Genomic DNA, 22,390 nt, shown 5'->3' on the forward strand with positions numbered 1-22,390 from the left:
TTTGGAAAACAGTAAACACAATTATATGAAAAACTTATCCATGTGGCCCACATCATGCCAATAGGTTCTGTTTTTTGAGTGACCCAGTTACCACTGGAATAGTCCCAGACAGAGAGGAAATTAGATGTGATCTAGTGAGACATAAATCAAAATTCAAGAAATAATTTGTAGGTGTTATAGTTAAAAATTATAACTCTTGTCATTAAAATGCTGTGGAGCCTAGAAAGGAGGACTTTTATGAAAGAATTAAGTAGTCAGTAGAAATGTTCCTTTTGTTCTGATTGATGCCAACCAGACTGTTAAAGTAAGTGCTTAAGCAATCAACCAGTGAAGTTAAAAAAAAAATTAATAAAACAGAGATGAGAAAAAACAAAAATAAAACTAATATTCTTTCCACATAAACATATTTCTAAAGGGACAAAGTTAATGACAAGAAGTATTTCTTTAAGTTAGAAAACAAATACACTGGTAATTGGCGGACATTCACTAGTTTTTTTTTTTTTTTTTTTTTTTTTTTTGAGACGGAGTCTCGCTCTGTCGCCCAGGCTGGAGTGCAGTGGCGGGATCTCGGCTCACTGCAAGCTCCGCCTCCCGGGTTCACGCCATTCTCCTGCCTCAGCCTCCCAAGTAGCTGGGACTACAGGCACCCGCCACTACGCCCGGCTAATTTTTTTTGTATTTTTAGTAGAGACGGGGTTTCACCGTTTTAGCCGGGATGGTCTCGATCTCCTGACCTCGTGATCCGCCTGCCTCGGCCTCCCAAAGTGCTGGGATTACAGCATTCACTAGTTTTATAGAGCCTTTAGAGCTTCATTTATCAGGCCTTAACAAGAATCTACAAGTTCCTACTCTGGAAATATTCTGAGCAAGCCCTGTTCACAAAAAGATCATGTCAAAACACACCTGCTTTTCTCATTGCTTCTTCTATCATATGCATAAAAAGCATGTCAAGACGACTCATGGGAAACAGCCACTGACAAATCAAGTCTATGTTTGGTGGACCTAAAGACCAGTTTTCAGTTTCTGACATTCTTAAGGGGACATAGAGAATCAAATTTTAAAAGATGAAATATAAACAAATTGCTATTTGGTGATCTTCTAAAGGCCAATATAATAAGTGACTAGTCACTTGCTCACTCTCACATATACACAAACATACATATATAATAATATACACATACATACATATATACACACACAAACCTCACATTAAATGGAAGAAATTAATGAATGTGCAACTTGAAAAGAGTGTTTAAAAGAAATGCTTACAATCAGATACATTCTTAAAAACAGAGAGACGACATCTGCCTTTATAAATTTTCCACAACCTTTTCCCAAAGTCTTGGGTATGAACATTTATAGTTGCCACAGTAGGTGCTAAATCATTAAATATTACTGACATATTTTTCACTTAATTTTTAAATAAAAGAATCTAAGTGAATATGGTAATTTTTTAAAAGTAAAGCATTACATATGTTCACCAGAAGTTTACATAAAATTTAAAATGCTCAAGCCTATCTGTGGGGCCATGCTCTAACTTGTTCTGTTTTTTGTTTGTTTGTTTTGTTTCTTTGTTTTTAATCCACATAAATTAGTACCTAAAAAAATAAATCCTGGCCGGGCATGGTGGCTCACGCCTGTAATCCCAGCACTTTGGGAGGCCAAGGCGGGAGGATCACGAGGTCAAGAGATTGAGACCATCCTGGCCAACATGGTGAAACTCCGTCTCTACTAAAAATACAAAATTAGCTGGGCGTCGTGGCGCACACCTGTAGTCCCAGCTACTCAGGAGGCTGAGGCAGAAGAATTGCTTGAACCTGGGAGGCAGAGGTTGCAGTGAGCCAAGATTGCACCACTACACTCCAGCCTGGGCAACAGAGTGAGACTCCATCTCAATCAATCAATCAATCAATCAATCAATAAAATGGTTAATCATATCATCTTTTGCTGCTAAAATCAACATATTAAATGTCAAAATACTTAAGTAAAAATGTTCTACTTGTTCTATGTCACTGAAAGAATAGTCATAAAAATCCAGTATGAAAGTTTTTAACAGACTACTTTATTTACATTCTATTACTTGATAGCAGCACTTGAATAACCAAATTTATATTATCCCAGAAAGTTATGGACACTAGGTGCTTCAGGAAGTTTGCTGAATTAAAGGACAGATTTACTTATTGCCTTTTGTTTAGAATTTATGCTAAGTGCTTATTCATTATTAACTCATACCCTCCGCCTAAAAGTACACAAATGTGACTAAAATTATGTTGATGTTAATATTTTAAAAGTCTGTATCACTATAAAATGATTCTTCAAATAAGGAAGTTTTCTTCTTTTATTTCACACTGTACCTATTTTGAAGTTGACTGTGGTAGATGAACTCATCATGCCAAATTCTTCATCCCTCACTACTGTAATGATACATCCACATTCTGCCATGCATTCTGCAGTGCTTACCACTCGGAGGGGCAGAGCATTCTTCACCATCCCATTAACGTTTGGCCAATGGAATGTGGACAGAAATAATGGTGTGCCTGTTCCCAAGTGTTAACACTTGCCCTTTTGTGGTTCCTATGACCCACCATCTGAAGAGCATCTCCAGGTAATGCAATCCTTTCAGCCCAGGTTGTAAAATGGAGGCATGTGGAGCTGACCTGAAACTGATCAAAGACCTGGTGTCCAGGCCCAGGCAAATCAGCCCCAGCCAAGCCCTGCCCACCATCACCAAACCACAGCCAAACTGCAGACCTGTGAACACAATTATATTCATTATTCCAAGTTTGTTGTTGTAGGCCACTAAGATTCTGAAATTGACACACAACAAAAACTAATATATTGACTCTATATCTTTATATGGCTACTCATGTAACACGAGTTGCATCAAACTAAACCTTTTAAATTTACCTCTCCTCAACTAATAATAATTTTCTTTGGCTATATTGTATTTCAGAAAACAGAATGAGAATTTTTTTAATAAAGATTTAAGTTGTCACAGAAAGAAATTCATTCTATTGCTAAGGCCTTATTTCCAAAAATAAACTATAATATACAGAATAAGCTACACTTAAACTCAACTTATAATTTGGTATCCTTAAATGTTTCTACAATTTACAGTCTTTCAAATGAACTGAATGTAACACACCTCCCTAAAATGTATGATATACTCTAGATATATTTATTTATTTATTTATTTATTTTTGAGCAGTTTACCTCCAAACTTCACAAGTATAACTAGTATTGGGAGGTGAAACCAGTATGAATCTTGAATTTAAAAAATGTCACTAGGTACAACTTACTACTTTTGAATACCAATATTTTTAGGGTCTCCCTCAATTACTAGATAGGAATCCCCTGTTAATTATTTGAATATAATGAATAGACCTTTCCTTTTTATGTTCTTAAGTAATTTAGAACATTGTTATTTTAATAAAAAATTAAATAGGACATATTTTTGTTTACACAAATATTTTGTTAATTTTTTCTATCATAATTTGTATGGTAGCAAACTTTAAATTATCACAAGTAATAAAAGTAAAATCAATTACATTTTTATACATCAAAGATCACCACTGCCCTTTTGCCATTTATCTATAATAAAGCAAGACTACTGAGAAAACAATGTATGTAATAAATTGCTGAATATGAGTCACTATATGTAATTCTTATTCTCATCACTGTTCACTTCAGCTAGCACATCAGAATTTAAAAATCATAAAATTTTAACTTAGAAACACTTTTACAGCTAGTTTAACGACTCACTAGATATTTACATTAACTCTGTAATATTCCTCTCAACTGCTCAGTTATATTCTGAATTTTTCCAGTGGTAGAATTTCTCAACCAGCATTTTTCCAGAGGTAGCATTTCTAAACCAGGGTTTTGTTAACTTGTTTCAGGAAACTGATTTAACAAAAGGTAATTGGTGGGTCTGTTGTTATTGTATTTTTATAAATAAATAATCATTTTTAAAATGACCCCTTTAGAATATAGAAAGAGAAAAAGCACATGCCCAGTAAGCATGAATAATGGTTAACAAAGAACAGACAAGCCAGCTTATACGTCTAAGCAGTCCTCTGTGCAGCTTATCCCCTGGCTTAACAATGCTACAAATGCTTGTGTTTTGAACATTTAAGTTTCAGTTGTTTTTACTTTTGGTCATATTTTAAAATTTGTACTAACAGATCAGGAATTATAGTTGGGTTGTATGAGGATATTAAGTAACACTAGGAAAGGAGCAATAATAAATTTTGTAAATGCACTCAAAATAGTCCTTATGTTGCATTAGCTTAAAATAGTCATCAATCATATCAAAAAGCTGCTAGTCCCTTAAAAAAAAGAGTTAAAAGAACTAGAGCATTCATAGTGGCAGCAATCAATATCCAAATATCCATCAGCAGTAAATTGGGTAAGTTTTGATAGGCTTACACAATGGTAATAACATAGTAATAGAAATGAGCAATCTACAACTACATGTAACAGTCTGGATGGATCTCACAATGTTAAGCAAAAGAAGCCAGACACAAGAGCATATATTGTTTGATTTTATTTACACAAAGTACAAAAACAGGTGAAACTAAACCATGGTGCTTATTCTTTGAGGTTGGAAGACAATTTTTGAATGAGATGAGTGCAAGAGAGCTTCTGGGGTGCTGGTCTTGCCATGTGTTTTGATCTCATTGCTGGTTATACAGTTGTGTTTGTGAAGTCTCATCAAGCTGTTTGCTTATAATTTGTGCACTTTTATGTATGTAAGTTACAATTCAAAGTTGAATAAGTAAAATGTCAAAAACAATTTTATTTTATCTAAATTGTTATATTTGGTTGCGCTATACACATGCCCAATACTTTGTTCAGGGTTTTAATCTTTTTATCTTATCATTTAGATAACTAAAAATACAAAATTTAAAAAAGGGAAAGATTTCTTAGGTATAAAATATAAGAACTCAATATATTAAATGTAATAGTAATTTCTGTCTAGTTTTAAAGCTACAATAAAATATATCATTAATTTTACACTATATTTTAATATATACCTGCTCCAAAATCAAACACAATGTCATTTTGAACATGCTGAAATTGTTTTCTTAAATAGATATTTCAGAGAAAATTGTCAGTCACTTAAAGTAAAAAAAAATCTTTGTCATGAATATTAAGTTTAAAATTAATCTCTAAAATTACCTTTGTATTATTGTTGCTAATACATGATGCTAAATTTTCCTTTACATAAAATCTCTTTTCTGTCATGTGCTACGTAAAAATGAGGAAAAACTAATTCCTATGGAAGTATATAATAACAAAAAGTTTCAAGAATTAGAAGAACAGTTGGGTAACATTTTAATAATGGAGAAAAAAAATATGATTAGAGCTGCGGAGATCTTCTGACAAATTCCAGACCTGCCATTAACAAGCTGGGAGACTTCTGTCAGGTCACTGCTGTCCAACAGAAACGCACTCTGAAATGTCTGTAACTCTTAAATATCTGGTAGCCCCATTTTAAAAAGTAGAAAGTAATTGTGCACTGTAATATATCAATAATATCTTGTAAGACACAACACAATTAAAATGAGAGTTGTGTTTAACAGAAAAATACTTCCTGATGCTATAGTTTTAAAATTGATATTTAAATTCATGAAAATTAAATAAAATTTAAGATTCAGCTCCTCAGTCACACTGGGAGCCACATTTCTACACAGGACCCTAGTGGCCACCGTATTAGACAGCGCAGTCGCCAAGTCATTCCATCTCTTTAAGGCTTACTTTCTTCATTGATAAACTAAAAATGTTAGTCAAGATAAAGAATTTCAAACTTAGGTGCTTCTATAGGCCAGGCCATTAACATAAATGACCAAATCAATGGCAGTGGGAGTTTTGGCCAACTGAAGCCCACACGCCCCATTCCAAATAGGCAGCAAGTCACTCACCTGACACAGAAATGCAGGTCCAGTGTTGCAATAGGACTTTCCCCACAACGTTGGAAATCTAGATGTTTATATAAAATATTTTTCTTTTTCCATACATAAACTACTGTGAAATTTTTCAAAGCACTGTGTGGGCTAAACCAAAACATACCTATATGCTGGTATGTGCAACCTGGGCTCTAAGAACTTTCTTTACTGCTTTTACCAAGCTCTGATTTATTTATAGGAGTGATTTGACTTTGACACCTGGAATCTAAAACACACAGCTGGAGACTCAGTTGAGTAGTGAGCATCAAACCACCCCACTGTGAAGTCAAGACAAGCTAAAGATGCTACCAGGTAGCAGCCTGTGGTGAATGTTAGCAGGATTCCAGCATGAGATGAAGTCCTACTTACACCCCAGAATGCAGACAAGTCTGAAAAGAAATCATACTAAGGGAAGGGACAGCCCAATCCCCTAATTCTGGATCAAGGACAATGTGCCAGAGATATTAACAAAGAGAAAGGGTAGTGAAGCTGAATTCTCCCCAGTGACTATCACCCTTGTCACCCTGGGACCCAATCCTTATGGAGCCTGCCTAGATCCTCCAGCACATGTGAGACTGACAGCGGAAAGCTGCAGAGGTGAAGCAGAAATTAGTAGCATGAGCAGCCATCAGCATCTTCCATGGACATAGTAGGCAGGGTTGGGAAGGGGGTAAGGGGTAGCAGATGGACTGGGAATATTCTTAGCTGTTTGGCAGAATCTAAAAAAAGGTAGAGTGCCCTCAGAGGTGGCAAAGTCAGAAACTCAGTTTTGTAAGTCCTGTTAAACCTATGTTTAGCTCCAGGATAAGGAAGCCTTGGAAACAGGATTGTGTGAGTAAGAGCCCGGAGTTAGGATTCAAGTAAACTGAGCATTAATCCCACATGTGTCACTGTCTTGCTGTGTGACTTCTGCTTCCTTAAATTTAAAATGGTAATAACACAGTATAATGGTAATAACACAGAGTTATTACTCTGTAACACAGGGTTGTTTTCAGCATCAAATAATATCATGAATACAAGGCAATTCAGAAAGTACACATTTCTCATGTAATTGCAAGACCTTTTTATTTTACTAAGAAATTACTAATGGATTCTAGGAATGCAATTTATTAAAAGCCATTTAAGTCTCCAATCAGAATTATTCTTTAATTTGGAGATGGGAGGGTAAGAGGGTTAATAGTCAGGGCTTAAGGGGAACAGCAGCAAACACACTGACTACTCCATTACAAACTCTGCCACTTACAGTCATGTCTAGAGGGGGTTCATGGAGTGGGACTAAGGGAGGTCAAATTCCAAGATGGACTTGAAAAGACCTCAGGAGGAATTTGCCCTAAAGCAGTGGTTCTTAACCTTTTTCAGGTCAATGATGTTTTGAGGAACTGATTAACGCTATGGCTTCTGTCTTGGAAAAAGACACATATACAAAATTGACATATATCTTCAGGACGTTCATGAACCACCCCCGCCAAGGATCCCAACTTGAAAATGCTACCCTTAAGGAAGACAGGATCACAGGAAAAACATTCAGTGTGGTCTTAGGCAATGAGCTGGTGCTGGATAGGAGGCAGTTCTAAGAACAGCTGGAAGCCAACAGTAAAGACAAAGCCGACTTTCTTTAAAGCTCAGCCCCTCCTCAAAATATTGTTACTGTGAGACCCTTAGATGAAGACATCTTAGAGTCTCCCTATAAAGGGCCACATATGTACTCACAAATACTACCATTCTAGGTAACTAGTAGCTTCTGCTCCCTTGGACAGTTTCAACATAAGGGAGCATACTCTAGGCTCAGTTCACATGGACCCTGCTCGAACTCAGTGCAAAAGATACGAGAGAAAGAACAGTATGTAAGTCTCTCTAAGAACGACAAGGCACTTTATCAATACATTATAGAACATGCAGGGAATTTTCCTCATTTTGGTTTTGTCAAAGAGAAAGTAGAGAAGAGAATACATGTTACAGAGAGGGTGACGGTGTCAATATGAATACCACCAAGAGCAGGAGTTCACAGCAACTTAGAATGCCAGTGAACATCATGGCAGAAACCTGGCACCCATACACACAGCAATGGGGCAGGAAGAGAAACACTGGTTCTACAGAAATTCAACAACAACTTCTCACTGACAAGAGCAGAACAATCTTTAATTCTTGAATGAAATACAGCCTCAAACACATTTTGACAAAATATAATCTATCCACTTCCCAATCCAATCTCTTATAGAAATATGTTTTGGAAAGTACAATGGAAGTCAAATAAAAAGAATATTTTTCTCATGTATTTGTAATAACTAAACTATGTTTAGGTGAATGAAGACATACTATGAATGTGGAATTATAACTGTTCAGAACACACTTAATGACCTTTTCATAACGTATTCTTATATTCTACTTTTGACTTTATTAATATCACAAAAGAATACTCATATATTGCAATTTTTAAATGACTTTCAAAGTAGGAGTGAATGAACAAGTTGAAATTACCAGTTACAATTAATGCTTTCTTTAAATCAAAAATATCTTACTAAGACCAGTAAAAGTATCAAAAAAATCTCCTATCAAATAAAACTTCACCAAGGACTGCAGTCTATAAAGTCAAAAGAACATGCTGCAGTGCATTCATATCTACTTGCCAAAGAAACAGTTCGCATATTATCAATGGGTTTTGAAACTTCCCAAGGACATGATGTCTTCCACTTGGGTATTTTACTTAATGAACTACTGACTGGGTTTATTCAAAGAGTCACGTGGATTTTTAATTTTCCCAGGTCAAACGGTTTAAATACCAGGTAATTTCCCTGTGAAGCTATAATTTTAAATGCCACTTCTTGCTAATATATTTCCAATTTAATGGTAAGTCACATTTTAGAATGTAGTAAAACATTTTTACAAAAGTATTGAGTCAGATAATGCAAGAAAAATGATTTAGCACAGTGGTTGGTACCCAGCAAGTGCTCAATGAATGTTAGCTTATGACAACTTTGGGAATAATGATGTTGCCAACAATGACAATAATAATACTCAAACAACTATACTCACCTTATGGTAGGCTGCTACGAAGGCTGCCCCCAATGATCTCCACTTTCTGTAATTCACAATCTCACTAAGCCCTTCCCTTGTGCTGAATTCAGCATGTGCTGAATGTAGAGATTCAATTCTAATGAAGATAATATGGCAGAAGTGATGAGATACCACTTCCAAGATTAGGTTATTAAAACACCTTCACTTTTATCTTCAGTGCTTACACTGTTTATCAATCTCTTGGATCTCTTGCTGATATGGTTTGGCTCTGAGTTGTAATTCCCAATGTTGCAGGAGAGGCCTGGTGGGAGGTGACTGGATCATCGGGGTGGATTTCCCCCTTGCTGTTCTCATGATAGTGACTGAGTTCTCACAAGAACTGATGGTTTAAAGGTGTATGGCACCTCCCCCTTCACCCTCTCTCTCCTGCTCCACCAGAGTAAGACATGCTTGCTTCCCCTTTGCCCTCTGCCATCATTGTAAGTTTCCTGAGGCCTCCCAGCCATGCTTCCTATATAGCCTGTGGAATTGTGAGTCAACTAAGCCTATTTTCTATATAAACCAGCCAGTCTCAGGTAGTTCTTTCTAGCAATGTGAGAACAGACTAATACACTTGCCCTGGGGGTAACCAGTTATGATATCGTGACGTATTCCTGTGGCAGGCCCCAGATGAGTGTGATTGGAAATGGATTTTCTAAGGCCTATCAACAACCACCTGAGTGAATTTTGAAGTAGATCCTTTAATCCCAATCAAGTTTTAAAATGACTAAACACTGATCAGCAGCTTGACTGCAACCTTGTGAGTGACCATGGCAGAGTCACCCAGTTAAGCCCAGATTCCTTTCCCACAGAAGTTGTGAGATAATGTTCATTGTTCTACAACAGTTAAGTTTTGAGATAATTTGCTATGCAACAAGATAACTAATATAGATTTTGAAATGGGGTGCTGTCATAAAAATCTAAAGGTGGAAGTAGCTTTGGAACTGTGTAGTGGACCTTAAGAAAAGTGTTAGTGAGAATGTGCCTCGAACACACTCTACATAGAATTTTGGAATTTAAGAAGGCTGATGGAAGGGCTTAAATGAAAGTGAGAAAATGTTTATGGAAACTAAAAATTATGTAGTGGCTAAAGTTTAGCAATAACCACACTTAGGTGTAGTTAATGTGACCAGCAGTCACTTATAGTTACATGGAAATTAAAAAAAAAAAAATGTGCCAGATGAACTGACTTATCCAGTTAAGGACATTTACCAGCAAAGTGCTGAAGATGTCACCTGGTTTCTTCTTACTGTCTTATGGTAAACTATGAGAAGAAAGAGATACATTGGGGGAAGTACTGCTAAACAAAAAGGAGGCAGGACTTGATAGTTACGAAAATTCTTAGCTTCTCTAGACAGCAAATAATGTTGAAATTAAGAAACAGCTTTTAAGATAAGATCAATTCCAGGACACTATCAGAAAAACATGGTCTAAAGACAAAAGCGGAGGGTGTCTTATAAAATCGGTTTGTTAAAATCTTGGAATGATCAAAAGTGATATCTCAGAGTACTATTTCATCAGATGACAGAACCTCCTAAGGGTTCCTCAGAGCCTCATAATGAGCCTTTGGGAAATTTAAGGGCATGCATTGTCTCTCCCCGATCTTGGCACAAGCCCAAAGTAGAGAAGACTTATCTCCAAGAGATATATGAATGTGGCTTTTGGCTAATGGAGAAAATTCAAAGAAGTTTCACAGGAGACCCACAAACTTTTTGAGAAGATTGTATCAGCAGAACCACTGCCTATTTGGACCAAAAGGGGTAGAAGCAGTACTAAATTTAAAAAGGCCACGGGTCCTTAAAATTCTACCGGTAGGAAGCAGGCTGAGAAAACCACTCAGCTGCAAACATATGCCACCTTTCACGAAAAAGGAAAGATGACTCAGAGTGGAACCAAGAAACCAAATGGTACAGTCAAGAGCCCTGGAGAACTATTCCCAGGCTTTGAGACCTACTACAGGAGCACTTGCCTCAACAGACTTCAAATTCCTATTGACAGGTGACTCCTATTTTTCTCACATTTCTGCCTTTTTTTTAAACAGGAATATCTAGGTATTTTATGCCTGTCCTACCACCATATGTTGGCTGTGTTGAGGGCAGGTAATTTGACTCTGGTTTCACAGATCTACAGATAAAGAGGAAGCATACTTGAAGAATTATAGTTAAAGATTGTATGGATACCTAAGGGGCCTCACCCACACCTGGATCAAATTTGGATGGCATCTAGATTTTGAGGTGATGACCGCCTATACAGTAAAAAAAATTATTTTTCATATTTTAATAAAAGTGATGTTTGACATCAATACAATTTAACTTGTTTTATAGCATCCAAACCTCTAAATAAAATATAAAATAATTTAAAACATTTTCTGTCTGTTAAAAGATTGAGCTACTAATGCAGAAGGGCAAGCATCATAGATTTCTAATATTAATATTATTTATTAATAAATCTCACTAATATAAAACTTGATAAACTTCTCTAAACCAAATTAATCAATTATCAACTGCCAAATTTTAATCTGTTTATAATATTTATTTGACAGCATCATAGCTATTATCAAGAGAACACATAAGCAATGTCAAAGCTGTCCTAAATATCTTGATTTGCAGATTATTTTTTCTGTTTGTAACAAAGATTCCAATTAAAGGAGGCATTTTAAATGAGATGTGAACTGGAAAATGAAATGTCTGACTCTCCTAAAATGATTATAATTTTTTTAACTTCATGCACTCCCAAAGAAAAGCAAATAATATCATTTCAATGTTCTATAATGCCTATCCTTCAGAATGACAGCACATCTTAATTTTCTATTCACTATCATATTGTGACATTTTATGTATGAAAAATAGTTAAAGCAGTATTTTTTAAAATGTCATACGGCTATAGAGAGCAATTTATTTCATGCCCATGTCCCTCCGGGCTATGAGCCTATTTAGTAAAGCTTATCAGTGAAGGACAATGACTGACATGTCTTCTGCATATGCACTCATGGGCCAATAAAAACAAAGAACACAAATATACCATTCAGAAATACACAGCACTGTTTAAAAATAGCAATGCCCATTTCTTCTCACAGAGAAGAGGGTCCTAGTCTACAGAGACAGCACAGAGCAGTGAAGGGGTATTATCTTGTACTGAGAGTCAGAGTATGTGGGCTCTCAGCTTAGCTTAAGCTACCTGGTAAGTGACTTATCCACCTTAGAATTCAGTTAACTAACTGTAAAATTCAGTGTCTGTATCCAACTTGATCAGTCAATGCATTCCTAAACTTCAGACATGCAGGCACCCCTCAGGCGAGTTCTTACTACACTCATGCAAAACCTGTACAGTTTTTTTGAATCCACCAAATAATCACTTAAATAAGTTTATTTTTCCTTAAAATAAACTTTAAACAGGAAACTTTTACACCACTACTTTATAAATGAAAAATCTGATTTACATAGCATTAATGATTGGTAATAGATTTAATTTTAAAATTAAATACAATAATACAACAAAACAATTATCAAATTCTAGCTATCAAGTTGTTGGCTGCCTAACGTCTATTCTCTTTGGAAAAACAGAGAAGCAACTCTCTAGGAGAGAGATTCTAGCATCAGACTGAGAATTTCTCCATTACTTGTCAGGAAAGCATTGAAAGGAAATAAGTTTTTCATTATATGATTCACTGTCATTTCAGGCAACATCTACATGCCACATAAAATCAACTCTAGTATCAACCAAAATCATCTTTCATACCAGCAGCAAATTTCTTGTACCCTGGAAATGCTGCATCAAATAGTACACCCGTTATTTCTGATTCTAAATTTTATCATGAATCCCCATATGACCCACCTAACCTACTTTCTTAAAACCATTAATACTGTCATGAGAGACACTAAAATAATTTTGAGGGCAATGATGCACTATGGAAAAAGTTACATTAGGTTTCTAAGCTTAGTTTCATCAGGCTAGATCTTGACACTGGCAAGTTAATTAACCTCTCTAAGCCTCAGATTGCTCATTCAGATTAAAGTGCTAGTGTCACAGTTAAATGACATAATGCATGTAATAAGCTTAGCATTGAACCCGAACATGGTAGGTACTCAATAAATGTTATGGATTAAAAATAATTTAATTTTCTCAAATAAGTTTTCAAAATTCTACTAAAATTCACTCCAAAGAACACTGGCTAAAAAGAAAATATAGTTTATCATTTTTCTTTTATAATAAAGCTATATGATATATAACTTTCACTTCAAAATAAAGCTATAAAACCCATAAACCATCTACTGGCAAAAGTAGCAAAACCACTTTGTCCTTAATGATAAAAGAAGAACCATTGGCTGTCAAAATGAAAAACAACAACTCTTAGTTGCTATCATGTAAAGCATTTTCAGGTTTTTTCCACCCCAAGAACGGCTCAAAAGGGTAGAAAAGACAGAGTGAGAATATCTTAATCAAAAAGTTTCAGCCAAGTAGGGCACATAGTGAAAGGAGCCACTTTTAGGCCAGCACTAATAACACTCTTACCTACTAGATGTAGTAAAGGCTGGGCAAAATAAAAAGAAGCCCAATGTTAATTCAACAACAGTAGTTCTGGTCACCTAATAAATGGTAGTAGTAATATTCTCCAGGACTCATACTCGTCACTTCAGATGCACTATTTCTAATCCATACAAGTTTGCAAGTTAGACATTGCTAACCCAAATTAAAACACGAAGAGGCTGAAGTTCAGAGAGGTTATTTGCCTGCTCAAGGTCACCCTGCTGGTAAATGCCTGAGTTGCACTGAAACCACATCTGATGCCCCAACCAGCTCTCCAGTCACCATTTCCTGCTGCTTTTCTTTTAGGACATAAAGATGTGAACAAAACTCTTCCTCAGTACTTTGAAAAGTCACCAGGTGATATGTGTCCCCTTTTCTTTCCCTGCCCTCTTCTGGTTTCTCTCCAATCCTTTGCTTTTTGATTCACACCATATTTAGTCAGTATTCATTTCCCCAACTCCAATTCACTTATTCCTTCAGCCACAGTAATGTGGTATTGTACCCCAGCCCTTTTGGAAACTGTCCTTCCTAAGAAAAGAAAGAATAAAAAGAAATCAAGGCAAGGCTTCCAATCTACTTGGAACTTAAACTAAAGGCTCCCAGATAACAAGTAATTCTCTTACACAGCAACCAATTATTTACCTGGACACCAGTACTCTCATTAGAGTTGGCATGTTACATATTAGAGGGATGACTAAGGTGGGCACAACGTGTGAAATCGATTATAGATTATGTGCAAATCATACATATTCAAAAGAATGCTTCACTGAATTAGAGCTTCAAAAGGTATTTGGAAGCTTTTATCTTTTATTCAGGGAAGGAATTTACACACAAATAAAAATTACTGAACTTAAGAGTATTTTTGTTCCATATTCTAAATGGTACAGGATCAAGCAAAAATGATAGTCTCTTCATTTAACTCTAAGTTGTACTTCAGTGAAGATGTCCATTTAATAGACAATGTCTAGTTCATGTTTTAAGTTCTAACGCTGCACTTGAAAATTAGTACACCTACCACACATTGCCCACACTTGTGGTCTAAATTGCTGAGGTCTATGAACCACTCTGTTGTATATGTTTCCTCAATCATCCAAAATGCAAGCTACACCCTTCTAAGCACTGCACATCAGCTAACACTATTGATTCTCAAGATAACCTTTTGTAAGCACTATTATCCTGATTATTACATATGAATAGATTGAGTCACAGAAAGGTTAAATAACTTGCCCATGACCACACAGCTAGCAAAATAAGATAGCAGAAAATCAAATCCAAGTGCTCTGACGCCTCAGCCTGTATCTATTATACCTCACTGCGCACAATACCACCATATATATGCACATTAATAGGCCAAGAAAAAGTACTACATAGGTACTACCAGGCACCAGACGCTGGAGATGAAGGAATAAAAAAAGCCTGGTTCTGTGCTGAAGATGTTTCTCTCTTTTTTTTTTTTTTTTTGAGACAGAGTCTCGCTCTGTTGCCCAGGCTGGAGTGCAGGGGGGTGACTGGGCTCACTGCAACCTCTGTCTCCCAGGTTCAAGCAATTCTCATGCCTCAGCCTCCTGAGTAGCTGGGATTATAAGCATGTGCCACCACACCTGGCTAATTTTTGTATTTTTAGTAGAGATGAGGTTTAGCCATGTTGGCCAGGCTGGTCTCAAACTCCTGATCTCAAGTGATCCACCCGCCTCAGTCTCCCAAAGTGCTGGGATTACAGGCGAGAGACAGGGTGCCTGGCCAATGTTTCCTTTCTAAAAGTAGATTTAGGGAAGGTTGAAAGCAAAGAAGTAACCAATGACAAGATGTATTCATGCTTAGGCCAGTGGGCCATCCTGAGTGTTAGAGGAGCCCAATGCAAAAAACACTTAAATAACAAATGTCTGCACACCGAAAGAAACAACACAGTAAACAGCCTACAAAATAGGAAAAAATATCTGCAAAGTATGCACCTGATAAAGGGCTAATATCCAGAAGCTACAAGGAACTCAAGCAGCTTGACAAGAAAAAAAAAAATTAAAAACTGAGCAGAGGACATGAAAAGACATTTTTAACAGGAAGCTAGACAAGAAGACAACACACATAGGAAAAAATGCTCAACATCACTAAGCATGAGAGAAATGCAAGTTAAAATCACAGTGAGATACCATCTTACACTAGTCAGAACGGCTTTTATTAAAAAGTCAAAAAACAACAAATGTTGGCAAACATGCAAAGAAACGGGAATGCTTATACACTGTTGGTAGGAATGTAAACTAGCACAACCTTTCTGGAAAACAGTATCAGGATTTCTCAAAGAACTAAAAATAGAGCTACCATTCACTCCAGCAATCCCAATACTAGGTATATACCCAAAGGGAAATAAATAATTATACAAAAAAGATACCTGCACTTGTATGTTTATTGCAGCACTATTCACAACAGCAAAGATATGGAATCAACCTAAGCGTCCATCAACAGAGAACTGGTAAAGAAAATGTGGTATATATACACCATGGAATACTACTCAGCCGTAACAAGGAATGAAATCATGTCTTTTGCAGCAACATGGATGGACCTGGAGGCCATTATCCTAAGGGAAATAACTCAGAAAAAGAAAAGTCGAAGATAGCATGTTCTCATTTACAAGTGGGAGCTATACAACGGGCACACATGGACATAGAGAGTGGAAGTGGAGACTACAAAAGGTGGGAGGCTAGCAGGGGGTGAGAGTTGGAAATTTTCCTGTGGGGTAAACATGTCCATTCTTTGGGTGCACTGAAAGCCCAGACTTCACCACAACTCAATATATGCATGTGAGAAATCCACACTTGTAACTCTGCACTTCTACACGTCACATTTGTGACCTTTTTTTAAAATTTTAAATAGTTGTAACATATTCATCTGGAATAGGAACATATAAACCTTACATAAACTTTTTCTGGATGGTTTCTCCTTATCCCTGGAAGTCCAAAAGCATTGCAATACTGTGTTTTAGGAATGTCAGGCTCTTTGCCTCTACACTAAATGCCTTTTATAAAAATTTAAATAGTTATATCTCTCTCCCAGATCTCACAGCACATAATTATTACCTTAGCAGTCACACCCTCTCCTAATCTGATATGATCCAGAACAGAGTTAATCAGTAACCGCAGTCCAAGTTTAAATTGTCAAGGAAGGTCCTTTCTTCTGATTAAAGTACACTGGATGTTTGCATATTCCTTGATGTTCATTTAAGGTACAATAAAAGGAGGTGGTTAGCTACATAAACAAATTCTGCCAATTTCAAAATTTGAAATTACCCATGACAAACCTGGCAAGAGTAAAAGGGATAAAGCAGCTTACCTCAAAGAGGGATTCTGATAACAGCTAACTTTTAACGAGCAGTACCTACTATATGCCAAGTATGTGCTAAGAGCTCTACAGTCTATCATCTTCATTAATCCTCACAATACCTCTATAAAATAGGTTATTCTAATCTCCACTTTATAAATAAGAAAAACGTCAAGGTTCACACAAAAGGTTGTAGAACTAGAACTGAATTACAGTCTAGAAACCAGTCTGCTTTTAATCACATACTCAGATAAAAAATTCAAGTGTCTCTGGGGCCAAACAAGTAAAGTAAATGCACGGAAAGGCTCAGTTTTAAGATTTTTTATAGAGGTGTGGCTCTCAACCTTGGCTGCACACAGGAATCACCAGGGGAGCTTTAAAGACTTTTGAAGCCTGGGTTCCACCCCCCATAGACTGTTATTTAATTGGTCTGGGAGCCACCAGGTGATACTAATGGGCAGTCTAGACTGAGAAACACTGCCTATAGATACAGACAATGGAGCATGGCTCACTTGAAAGCAGTTTAAAAACTTTAAAGGTTATATAAACACTGTGCTGGCCAAAGATTGTTATTACCTTTGCCACCAGTATGTGACCTCTGTCCCACTCCTCAGTATAATTAAGGTGCCAGTATGGGAGATAAATAGATGACTGATTGCTAAGAGGGATAGATAAACAGGCAGACATAGATATTTTTATAGTGGAAGGGGTTTGCCTAGTCTCTGACCTTTCTGCATGCCATCCCCACCATCTTCTAGTTATGGGGCTCTTCTACAATAAAACTTGTTAACTTGGGGTTACAAGTAACCCACTTTCAAAGGAATCTATGGAGTATAATCTATTCTTAAACTGAAGGTGACCTAAATACGCTCACTTAACGAACGCACATCATCAGATTATAGGTCTAAACTACTGAAATTTTTTCAAGAGTCATTTTTAAAAAGACCACTCTTTTTAAAGTCATTAATTCTGATCTTAATCCAAGCCAGGTCAAGCAATCCCACCTAACTAAACAAGTATTAAGACTGGAGAGCCTGATGTCCTAAAAGCCCATCTATGCAGGTGGTACACAGTGCTGTTGAGTAAAATGTCATTTGTCTTGGAAAAGGGAAGCAAAAGTTGCATACCACCAGAAAATGTACATTAAATGGCTTACACATGGGAAATCCAAAATAAATGCTACTGAAGTCAAAAGTGAATCCACAAAAAACAAAAACAAACAAAAAAATACTTTAGCCTGCTTGTGAAATAATTATTCATGCACAATTATACTGCAAGTTTTGTAGCACCATAATTAGAGAGGAAATGACAAAAGAATAAATTAAGAAAGGGACTTTGAAGCCACTTATTCAAATTAGGTAGAACATTTCCATCTGCTGCAAAACAAAAGTTGTATATTTTAATGATCCTGTATTACCATTTACCACCTCTCTTCCCCACTACCACCACCACCACTAAAAAAAGAAAAGGCAAATTAGAAAAGAAATTTCTAAAATTTCAAAATGAAATACTGCAAATAAAGGCCATTATTCAGAAATTAGGGCCTCAGTCAACAATATCCATCGTCCATCATAGGCCGTTGAGGCAAAGGAGCTACTTGAACAAAATATTTTCTTGTTTTATTTGGCTTTCAAAAAGCAAAGACACAGAAGCAAAGTCTCAGAAAGACAAAAGTGCCTGGGATGAACTTACTCGCCACAGTTCAGAATAATTTTTGTTTGTTGTTTGAATAAACATGCATTGATTCCCCTAATGAGTGTCAGGCACAGTGTGGTGCTGAGGAGGTAATGGTGAAAATGACAGCCTTTGCCCTCATGGGACTCCTAAGAGACCAAGGCACACACAACCTCATATAATCCACCATACATGCCCCTTCCAGCCATGTTTATGAAAATCTAGTCCTGTTATACTATTAGACGGTAAATTTTTCCCTTGGTCTGACTCCATGGAACTTCACAGGGAAGCAACTGATACCTTGTAAATAAATAAGTAAACAAATATCCATATTCTCATACCAACAATAACTCATGGGTAAATTTCAATGAGTTTAAAGAAAATTTTGTGAACCTAAGAGCGTATCAAAACGGGTTTTACTTTTGAACCAAGCCGAGCCATATATTTTCATTGCCTGTGGCTATGCAGCGTCAGTAAGCTAAAAATACTTTTCTTTCTTCTAAGTTGGGAAGAGCAAGTTAAGTCCAAACAATCGGATGTGTATCATTTTCTCTCATCTTAAATTTTTTACTAGAAAACACTCAAAATAACTGAAGCAAAGAAGAGGCATCTGTTTCATATCTGCACACACATACACAGAAACATCCCTCTAGCTTGCATCTATCTACCTAGCAATATTAAACAAGCTATATTTGCATCATCAGCAAAGTCTGCCAACATTTCACCACTTACAGCTATTTATTATTATTTTTTGGTTGGGGAGAAAGCTGCATAAGTATTGAAAACTAACCACAAGTAAAAGCTTGCAAAAAAAATATGTATAGGATACGTCCTTAACAAGAGGACATGGTGCTGACTTTGAATTTACGTTAAAAGTAAATTCAAATTCAAATTCTGAATTTACATTTAAAGTAAATTATGTTTGTGAAAATTACATTAAATTAGATTCTAAAATAGGATAGAAACTTTAAGTTCTTCTACAGGTCTTGCTCAAGTTGGGTTTGCTGTGCATGGCAAAGTGAAAACCTGTGTTTCTCCTCTTTGGCTTCCCGAAGCTAACTGTAACATACATGCATCTCTGTGATGAAGTAAAAGCTACTTAGGAAGACAAGTAAACCTGTTTTTAAAGAAATAAACTACTGCAGGATGGTGAATGGTATGTAGTGTGGACTTTTCCCACACATCCAGCATCTCTAAAGACATCCTATTAAATTAAAAGAATAAGAAATAAGAAACTAGCAGGTCCAGATCTAGGTTCCTTCCATTCGACTGGGCCATGACTTTAATTAAGCTGCTGGGTCATGGCTTAATTTTCCCTTGAAAAACAGCACAGTTTGAGAAATCTCTGCCAAACTCTTCATTTTTTAAGCAACTGACAAAGTCAACAAGAAAGCAAATACCTAGAATCCACGGAACAATGCTCCTCAGAGCAGGGCTGGCAGAAGCGGCGGAGGGCTACCAGTTTCCCTGCCCCGATTGCAGCTGGGCCTTTGACAAGAGCTCGGGTAAAGGACTATCTGTGCACCCGCCCACCAAACGCCCAGCGGGACGATGGGCTGGTGCTACGAAGTTCTAAACCTAACCGCTGGGAGGAAGAAGCGGGAGGATGAGAATGTCATCTCCCCTGACACTCTGGTGCCGGCAGTCCTGAAACGCTCACCTCTGACGTCCCTGAAGGTCAGAGGTGGCAACCACAGTGCCAATAGCTCACCAAAGCCACTTTTCCTGCCCGGGTGGAGGCGCGGGGCAAAGTTGGCCACCGGCTGCGCGCGTCCCGTTAGCCGTACCTTGTAACTGGGCGGAGAGGGACTCCTGGTGCTGCTGGTACTTGAGCGCCACCGCCTCGGCTTTCCGCAGCTGCGTCTGCAGCTCGTAGTAGAGCATCGCGCCGTAGAGAAAGCCGAACACGACGGTCAGCAGCAGCAGCGTCTGGAAAATCCGCTTCTGCTTTCGGGAGCACATCCCGTTTCCCATAGTCCCGCCTGGACCCAAAGCCGCGGCCGCCCCCGCCGTCTCCTCCCCTTGGTCCGAGCGAGCGTCTCAGCAGCGGCCGCCGCAGTAGGTGGCCAGACGCAGCATGAGGAGGAGATGCCAGACACAAAAGCCGGCCCGGAGGGGAAGTGGCGCCCGCTCAGCCCCCGCGCGGCGCGGGGCGCGCAGCCATCGACGCCGCCCGGGCAGCTGCAGCCAAACTTCTGCGAGGCTCGTTCTCCGCGAATGCCCGGGGCCGGGAGGAGGCCCTCCGCATACTTCAGAGCCGGCTGCCCTCGCGCCTGTCCCCAGATGCCTCCTGCCTTTTTTCCTTCTTCCCACTTTTTGGCCCCGCTGCCCCCGGGCAGTTCTTGGAGTCCCGCCCTGGCCACTCCCCGCCCTATCGCGGCGGCTCCCACTGCACGACTTTGTTGCCACCTAAGGGAGGGGGTGCGCGCCCAACAAAGGGACCAGGACTCCGGGCCGCGCCCCCGTGCGGCCTGCCCAATGGGTGGAAGGGTGGGGGCCAGCTGTCTCGGCTGGTTTTGGGGACGGCACAGCGGTGTCACTGACGGGTCGGCTGGTGCCTCTGCCGCCCCGCCACCTCCTGCCCAACTTACGTGTCACCCACGGCCCGGCTATTCTGGCCAACGGGATTCCGGGAGGAAGTCCCACTCGGCCTCCTTGCTCATTGGGCCCGTCCGAGCAGACGCTCCCTCCCTTCGGGGAGGCAGTGCCGGGCTCGATTGGATGCCGGCTTTGTCCGTCCGACCCCAGGGCCGCACCTTCCCTCCCAGTGCCGGGGCCGGCTAGGGGCTCTGTGGGCAGCGCGGCCGCCTGGCGCCGGGGTGCGCCCACGTGGAGTCGGAGAGGGTGGGAAGAGGCAGGCGGAAGGGCGAAGGGCGGGGAGCTTTGGGTGGGCGGGGGACTTGTCCGGGCCTGAGTCTGGGTGAGGTTCGGTGAACACGTGTGTGTGTGTGTGTGTGTGTGTGTGTGTGTTCCAGTTCTCGTTCGGAACGCACGTGGAGAGCGGAGTAAAATGTGTGTATGAACGAAAGAATGGATGGCAGTAACTGTGTGCACTCTGCTGAGTACACTTTCTTTCCCTGTCCAATAAACTGATGCGGCAGACACATGGGATAGCTACATAGCACAATCCCGGTAGTCAAACCAGAGATGCCATGTCGACTGCCTTACCCCATCCAGTGTACTAGCCTAGATGTGTGTGTGCCCACAGATGGCCCGGCAGGAGTCGGGAGACTGGAAGCACGCTAGACTTAATGTTCAATTGTCCACGTGGGCTGGGGAAATCGGCTTGCCATTGGCAGAGAGGAAAGAAATGGTCTCACATTTCTCCTCTAGCTGCAAATAGAATAATTTAAAAACAAATCGTACAGACTGAAATGAGTATCCATTCATTTTGTCATATGTATTTGTTTTATTGGTGGCAAAACACATCAGTTACATTTCTAAATTACATTTTAAAGGGCAACAAAGGTTCCCTATGTAAAAACTAGTACAGCACAGGAAAGGTAGTAACCACAAACCTCTTCGAAGAAATGTATACTGCATTTATTTTTTCTGTGTACTTGAGGGGAATAATTAAGGTTATGCACAAATGATAATTTTTGTTTCTGCTGTTGACCTGAATTCTAAGAAAAGTAAATTTTATCTGTCTGTATAGTGTGGTGTAATTTATGATACACTGCATAATTTTTATATTCTAACTGGACTTTAGTCGTTACCATTGCTAATGGGCCTGAGTGCTCAAAATGGGGGTAAATCTCTTTAGCTAAATGCAACAGAAAGACAGTTCCTGGTGCAAAAGTTTTTTTAGGTGGACTCTGAAATTATAGGTTGCTAAAGCCCTAAAATAAACTGAATTTATAACGATGCTACCCTGT

The 22,390-nt window shown here is 38.7% G+C and overlaps 1 protein-coding gene across 5 annotated transcripts in view, besides 5 other annotated features; it reads right to left on the minus strand.

Moving 5' to 3' along the window:
- The window catches only part of GOLIM4 (golgi integral membrane protein 4), an 87,236-nt gene extending 66,108 nt beyond the window's left edge, over positions 1 to 21,128 (minus strand). For 4 of the 5 annotated variants that reach the window (NM_001308155.2, XM_005247365.4, NM_014498.5 and 1 more), the window contains exon 1: positions 20,303 to 21,128. In NM_001308155.2, the coding sequence (NP_001295084.1) occupies positions 20,303 to 20,489 (187 nt within the window). In that variant the 5' untranslated portion in view covers positions 20,490 to 21,128. Of the gene's footprint in view, positions 1 to 19,915; positions 20,031 to 20,302 lie in introns of those variants that run through there. The other variant, XM_047447978.1, reaches the window with a different exon arrangement.
- Positions 7,090 to 7,703: an enhancer, noted in NCBI's record as "NANOG hESC enhancer chr3:167799674-167800287 (GRCh37/hg19 assembly coordinates)". NCBI's record gives its function as "activates a minimal SCP1, AML or CMV promoter by ChIP-STARR-seq in naive H9 embryonic stem cells {active_cell/tissue: H9 hESC(naive)}" and the evidence as "EXISTENCE:reporter gene assay evidence [ECO:0000049][PMID:30033119]".
- Positions 20,904 to 20,953: a silencer, noted in NCBI's record as "silent region_14868". NCBI's record gives its function as "represses an Ori minimal core promoter by ATAC-STARR-seq in GM12878 lymphoblastoid cells {active_cell/tissue: GM12878}" and the evidence as "EXISTENCE:reporter gene assay evidence [ECO:0000049][PMID:35858748]".
- Positions 21,155 to 21,656: an enhancer, noted in NCBI's record as "H3K27ac hESC enhancer chr3:167813739-167814240 (GRCh37/hg19 assembly coordinates)". NCBI's record gives its function as "activates a minimal SCP1, AML or CMV promoter by ChIP-STARR-seq in naive H9 embryonic stem cells {active_cell/tissue: H9 hESC(naive)}" and the evidence as "EXISTENCE:reporter gene assay evidence [ECO:0000049][PMID:30033119]".
- Positions 21,244 to 21,483: a silencer, noted in NCBI's record as "silent region_14869". NCBI's record gives its function as "represses an Ori minimal core promoter by ATAC-STARR-seq in GM12878 lymphoblastoid cells {active_cell/tissue: GM12878}" and the evidence as "EXISTENCE:reporter gene assay evidence [ECO:0000049][PMID:35858748]".
- Positions 21,854 to 21,903: an enhancer, noted in NCBI's record as "active region_20774". NCBI's record gives its function as "activates an Ori minimal core promoter by ATAC-STARR-seq in GM12878 lymphoblastoid cells {active_cell/tissue: GM12878}" and the evidence as "EXISTENCE:reporter gene assay evidence [ECO:0000049][PMID:35858748]".

Source organism: Homo sapiens, chromosome 3 (genome assembly GCF_000001405.40).
Source record: "Homo sapiens chromosome 3, GRCh38.p14 Primary Assembly".
Lineage (NCBI taxonomy): Eukaryota > Metazoa > Chordata > Mammalia > Primates > Hominidae > Homo > Homo sapiens.